Source organism: Homo sapiens, chromosome X, assembly GCF_000001405.40.
Source record: "Homo sapiens chromosome X, GRCh38.p14 Primary Assembly".
Lineage (NCBI taxonomy): Eukaryota > Metazoa > Chordata > Mammalia > Primates > Hominidae > Homo > Homo sapiens.
Genome location: NC_000023.11, coordinates 121,196,025 through 121,202,842, shown reverse-complemented (window position 1 = coordinate 121,202,842; position 6,818 = coordinate 121,196,025). Strand labels below are relative to the sequence as shown.

Genomic DNA, 6,818 nt, shown 5'->3' with positions numbered 1-6,818 from the left:
AAAAAAGAAATGAAATGGTAAACTTTAAACTTTACAACTGACTCCACAGAAATACAAAGGATCATTCAAGACTATTATGAAAACCTCTATGCACATAAACCAGAAAATCTAGAAGAAATGAATAAACTCCTGGAAATATACAATCCGCCAAGCTTTGATCAAGAAGAAATAGAAATTCTGAACAGATCAATAGCAAGCAGTAAAATTTAATCAGTAATTAAAAAAAAAAAAACCACTGCCAAGAACAGCAACAACAACGAAAGCCCAGGTGGACCACAAGGATTCACAGCTGAATTCTATAAGACATTCAAAGCAGAATTGATACCAATCCTACTGAAACTATTTCAAAAGACTTAGAAGGAGGGACTCCTCCCTAACTCATTCTATGAAGCCAGTATCACACTGATACCAAAACCAAGAAAGGACACGACAACAACAATAAAACTACAGGCCAATATCTGAAAAATGTAGATGCAAAAAATCCTCAACAAAATACTAGCAACCCAAATCCAACAGCACATCCAAAAGATAATTCACCATGATCAAGTGTGTTTCATCCCAGATATGAAGTGATGGATCAACATATGCAAGTCAATAAATGTGTTTCACCACATAAATAGAATTAAATACAAAAACCATATGATCATCTCAATAGGCACAGAAAAAAGAATTCAATAAAATCCACCATCTCTTTATGTTTAACAACCCTTAACAAATAAGCATAGAAGGAACATACATCAAAATAATGGCAGCCATATATGACATACCCACAGCCAACATCATACTGAATGGGGAAAAGTTGAAAATTCTCACTAAGAACTAGAACAAGACAAGGACGTCCACTTTAACCACTTCTATTCAACATAGTACAGGAAGTCATAGAGCAATCAGGCAAGAGAAAGAAACAAAGGGCATTCAAATAGGAAAAGAGGAAGCCAAACTATTGCTGTTTGCCCATGATATTATCATATACCTAGAAAACCCTAAAGGCTCCCCCAAAAGACTCCTAGGTATGATAAGTGAAGTAAGTAAAGTCTCAATTCAGTATAGTACAAAATCAATGTGCACAAATCAGTAGCACTGCTATACAACAACAGTGACCAAACTGAGAATCAAATCAAGAACTCAATCCCATTTACAGTAGCTACAAAAAATATAATAACTAGGAATATATTTAAGCAAGGAGGTAAAAGATCTCTACAAGGAGAACTAAAAAACATTGCAGAAAGAAATCACAGATGACACAAATGGAAATAGATCCCATGCTTATGGATTGGAAGAATGGATATTGTAAAAATGACCATACTGTCAAAGCAATCTACAGATTCAATGCAATTCCTATCAAAATACCAACTTCATTTTTCACAGAACTAGAAAAAACAGTCCTAAGATTCATAATGGAACTAAAAAAGACCCCAAATATCCAAAGCAATCGTAATCAAAATGAACAAATCTGGAGGCATTATCTTCCTCAACTTCAAATCATATAATACTACAAGGCTATAGTAACCAAAACAGCATAGTACTGGTACAAAAGTAGATACACAGACTAATGGAACATAACAGAGAGCCCAGGAATAAATTCGTACATTTACAACCAACTGATCTTTGACAAAGCATACAAAAACATAAACTGGGAAAAGAACACCATATTCAATAAATGGTGCTAGGAAAATTGAAGAGCCACACGTAGAAGAATAAAACTGGATCCCTATCTCATCTTATACAAAAATTTAATGCCGATGGATTAAAGACTTAAATCTAAGGCCCGAAATCACAAATATTCTGAGGAAAACTTAGGGAAAAAACCCTTCTGGACATTGGCATAGGCAAAGAATTTATGATTAAGACCCCAAAAGCAAATGCAACAAAAACAGAAATAAATAAATGGAAACTAATTAAATTAAAAAGCTTCCACACAGCAAAAGAAATAATCATCAAAGTAAACGTACAACTCACAGCATGGGAGAAAATATTTGGAAATTATACATCTGACAAAGAACTAATGTCCAGAATCTACAAGGAACTCAAGTAAATCAGCAAAAAACCCACAAATAATCCCATCAAAAAGTGGGCAAATAACATGAATAGACAGTTTTTCAAAAGAAGATATACAAAGGGCCAAGAAACATATAAAAATCACCCAACACCTCTAATAATCAGGGAAATGCAAATTAAAACCACAATAAGATATCACCTTACGCAAGCCAGAATGGCCATTATTAAAAGGTCAAAGAGCAATGGATGTTGTCATGGACATAATGAAAAGGGAATGCTTATACACTGCTGGTGGGAATGTATATTTGTACAACCTCTATGGAAAACAGTATGGAGATTTCTCAAAGAATTAAAAGTAGATCTACCATTCAATCTTTTCCCAAAGGAAAAGAAGTCACTATATCAAAAAAAACTCTTATACATGTATATTTATTACAGCACAATTCACAATTGCAAAGATATGTAGTCAACCTCAGTGCCCATCAACCAATTAGTGGATAAAGAAAATGTGGTGCATATATATATATATATATATATATATATATATATATATATATGTACACACATACACATATACACCATGGAATACTAGTCACTCATGATAAAGAATGAAATAATGTCTTTTACAGCAACTTGGATGGAACTGGAGGCCATGATTCTAAGTGAAGTAACTCAATAATCGAAAACCAAATACCACATGTTCTTACTTATAAGTGGGACCTAAGCTACAGATATGCAAAGGCATACAGACTGGTATTAATGCACATTGGAGACTCAGAAGGGGAAATGTAGGAGGTGGAGGAAGGACAAAAAACTACTTATTGGGTACAATGTACAGAACTGAATTGATGGGTACATTAAAATCCCATTCTTCACCACTGTACAATTCATCTGTGTAACCAAACACCACTTATACCTCTAAAGTTGTTGAAATTAAAATATAAAATAAAATAATTTCAAATAGTCATATGCAGCTAGTGACTACCTGATTGGATGGCCATAGTTAATCAGTAATAAATGAAAAGCCTTATCTTATTAATGTGGTTGCCTTGGATTCCACTTTGTCTAGAATATTATGCTTTTTTTCTGCTTCAAATTGCTGATATATTTAGATATATTTACCTATCTCTCCATCTCTCTACATGTATATATATATAAACTAAGTAAATACAGTATATTCATACATGTATATATACTCAGTATATATTCATACATATATACTCAGTATATATTCATGCATGTATACATACTCAGTATATATTCAAGCATGTATATATACTCAGTATATATTCACGCATGTATATACTCAGTATATATTCACGCATGTATATATACTCAGTATATATTCACGCATGTATATGTACTCAGTATATATTCACGCATGTATATGTACTCAGTATATATTCACGCATGTATATGTACTCACTATATACACGCATGTATATGTACTCACTATATATTCACGCATGTATATGTACTCACTATATATTCACGCATGTATATGTACTCACTATATATTCACGCATGTATATGTACTCAGTATATATTCACGCATGTATATGTACTCAGTATATATTCACGCATGTATATGTACTCAGTATATATTCACGCATGTATATGTACTCAGTATATATTCACGCATGTATATGTACTCAGTATATATTCACGCATGTATATGTACTCAGTATATATTCACGCATGTATATGTACTCAGTATATATTCACGCATGTATATGTACTCAGTATACATAGTTTATATATACAGTTTGTGTATATATAGTCTTTCTGCTTTTCACCTTTAACAGTCACTTTTAGATATGTCTTTTATAAACCACAGAAACTACAGTTGAACCTTGTTTTCTAATTCAATCTGAGAATCTTTGTCTTATAATAGGAATGTTTAACCCACACACGTTTACTGGCATTTATTGGTCTTTCTTTAATTGTTCTATTTGCATTATGCTTTCTTCCTAATTTTTAATGTGTTTTTTTTTTTGCTGGAGTCATTTGTAAAGTATACTTTCTAGTTTTAATTCTGTAAGAGGTTACCCCAAAATTTAAAATAAATGAATTTATATTTCTCCTTGAAACTCTCTCTCTCATACCTCCTCTACTTTCCTACCCCACCCCTCTATCTCCCAGGTAATGGTGGCATAGTATGAGATTTTAGTCCGGTTTTTGTATATTTAAAATTATGTTGTCTACCCTTTCAAGAATTAATATATCCATTCTGTTTTGTAACCTTATCTATACTATTTAGACTAATTCTACATTCAAATAGATTCAATGCACACATAATTCTTTTTATAACATAGTCTATATTCTTAAGGTCTTTACTTTTTATTGTTTACAAGATGCTTTGAGAATTTATTTTGCATCTCCCCACCTCATTTCCCAAGGGTTCTATAGAGGGTATATTCTCTGAGCTCTTGCGTTTCTGAAAATATCTTTATGTTGCACTGTCAGGGTAGAGAACTCCTTGGTCAAAACATTTTCCCATCAAAAATGTAAATGTTCCACTATTTGTCTTCTGACATTTAACACTATGGAAAATTCTAAGGATATCCCATTTTTTTCTTTAGAGGTACCCAGTTTTTGGTTTTTGTTGTCTCTTTCTTTGACTAGATACTTATAGAAGTTTTTTCTTTATCCTTGAAATTCAGAACATTCATCAGGATTATATAGATATCAGTCATATCTTACTAGTTTCACTGATACCTTTTGATCTGCAGATTCAGCTGTTTCTTAATTTTATAGATGTTTTCTTCTATTATTGCTTCTATTGCATTTATTCTTGTCTTTCAGATATATAGATAAGCCATATTGAAATAGTCCGTCATTGTCTGTCTGAGATAACGCCTCTTTGTCCTACCTCCAAGACGATTAAGGAGCGCGGACACAAAAGTGAGCTTAGAGCGAAAGCTTAATAAGTGAAAGAAGAAAGCTCTCTGTCAGTAGAGAGGAGAGTCCTGAACAGGAATACTCACTGTGGGGCCCATTCTGGGGATTTTATGGACCGGAAAAGAGAAGAAATGTGCTTAGTCTGTGGGCTGTCTTGGCGAACCCGTGACTCAGCCTGGCCCGGGACTTTGGCAGGGGACCAATCAGAAGCCGAAATGATGATTCACAGATGCTGCTTAGCTTGCCCCAGGGCCTATCACAAGCTGACGTGAAAGTTTGGCCCGGGACCTTGGCCTGGAACCAATCCGGAGCTGAGGTGATGATTCATAGAAGCTGGACTTACAGTTTCTTTCGGTTTTTGTTTCTGTTTTTGTTTTGTTTTGAAACGGTGTCTCACTCTGCTGCCCAGGCTGGAGTGCAGTGGCGCAATCTTGGCTCACTGCAACCTCTGCCTACTGGGTTCAAGTGATTCTCCTGCCTCAGCCTCCTGAGCAGCTGGGACTACAGGCACGCGCCACCACACCCAGCTAATTTTTGTATATTTTTTAGTAGAGACGGAGTTTCACCATATTGGCCAGGCTGGTCTCGAACTCCTGACCTCGTGATCTGCCCAGCTCAGCCTCCCACAGGGCTGGGATTACAGGCGTGAGCCACCGCGCCCAGCCTGGACTTATAGTTCTAATAAAGGAAAGTAGAGTGCCCACCTAAACCCACCAGAGCCCACCGTGCCCATGCCCACAAAAGGAGAAGAAACTTTTCCTGGGAACCTGCTGACTATACAAAGGACCTTTGTCCTGGCATTTGGATGCCAGGCCTTGTTCCCTTATCTGAGTGAGCTGGAGGTTCTGTGTAAGTTTTATCCAAACGGGCAGGAGGTTGTTCTATCTGTGCAGCCATGGGCATGTCTTCAGGCACAACACCCTGTCCTAGTTCCCTTATCGGTGCCTGCAGCTTGAATTATTTTCCCAGGCTGCTTTTTATGTTATGTGGGGATGAGGCACTGACCCATGGGCTGGGGGGCTCTTCTGGGACCCTTCCCTTGCTGTCTACCTAAAGCAAGCTAGTTTACTCCTTTCAATATGTTGGTTCTACATTCACTGGCCCATTATATTTATTATTGATTTTCTTGTTATTTTTATCTCCTTGTTCTTTTCCTCTGCATTCTAGGAGAGCTTTGGGTTGCATCAAAAATTTCTGATTTTATTTCTGCATTCTCAAAACTGATCATACTGCTGCTGATTTATTTTTTACATGCCAGTATCATTTTTTTGTTCAAAGTTGACTTTTTGACATACAAAACAGCAATTTAATATGGTTTAAACTGAAAAATAAAAAAGAATAGTTACTGCAGTATCTATGGTGATTGTGACAAGCTAGAAATCCAATAAATGCCCATTAATATGGAAATGATTGAATAAACTGTGATACGTTCATATCATGAGCTATTATGCTACCACTAAGAGAACAACTGTGGAATTTACGCAAATTCCACTAGGTACTGATTAAAAGATATAGAAAAAATGTATTATATAATAATCACATTTTTAAATAATGTCCAAACAAAAGCCGTGTGTGTGTGTGTGTGTGTGTGTGTGTGTGTGTGTGTGTGTGTTTGAAACAGATGAAGGGACTTTAGAAAAATGTACAGAAGGATATGCACCAGGCTATTAACTCTGGTTACCTTGGGGAAGTATAAATTAGAAGGAAGAAAAGAAGAGGGGAGGACAACTTCCCCCAAAATTGTCCTTAACAATAGAGCAAGCATTAGACAATGATGCCATTTGTGAAAAGTTACCTAGGTATATATGTATACACAAAATAAGCCACACAAAATAAGCCATCCTAAAAGTGGCTATCTCAGGGTAGTGAGATTTTGGATACTTCTTTCTTCTTCTTCCCCCATCCCAACACATACCCAT

The 6,818-nt window shown here is 35.6% G+C and overlaps 1 annotated feature.

Moving 5' to 3' along the window:
- Positions 4,445-5,644: an enhancer, noted in NCBI's record as "CDK7 strongly-dependent group 2 enhancer chrX:120331053-120332252 (GRCh37/hg19 assembly coordinates)". NCBI's record gives its function as "activates an origin of replication core promoter dependent on BRD2, BRD4, P300/CBP, MED14 and CDK7 cofactors, with strong dependence on CDK7, by STARR-seq in HCT116 cells {active_cell/tissue: HCT116}" and the evidence as "EXISTENCE:reporter gene assay evidence [ECO:0000049][PMID:35650434]".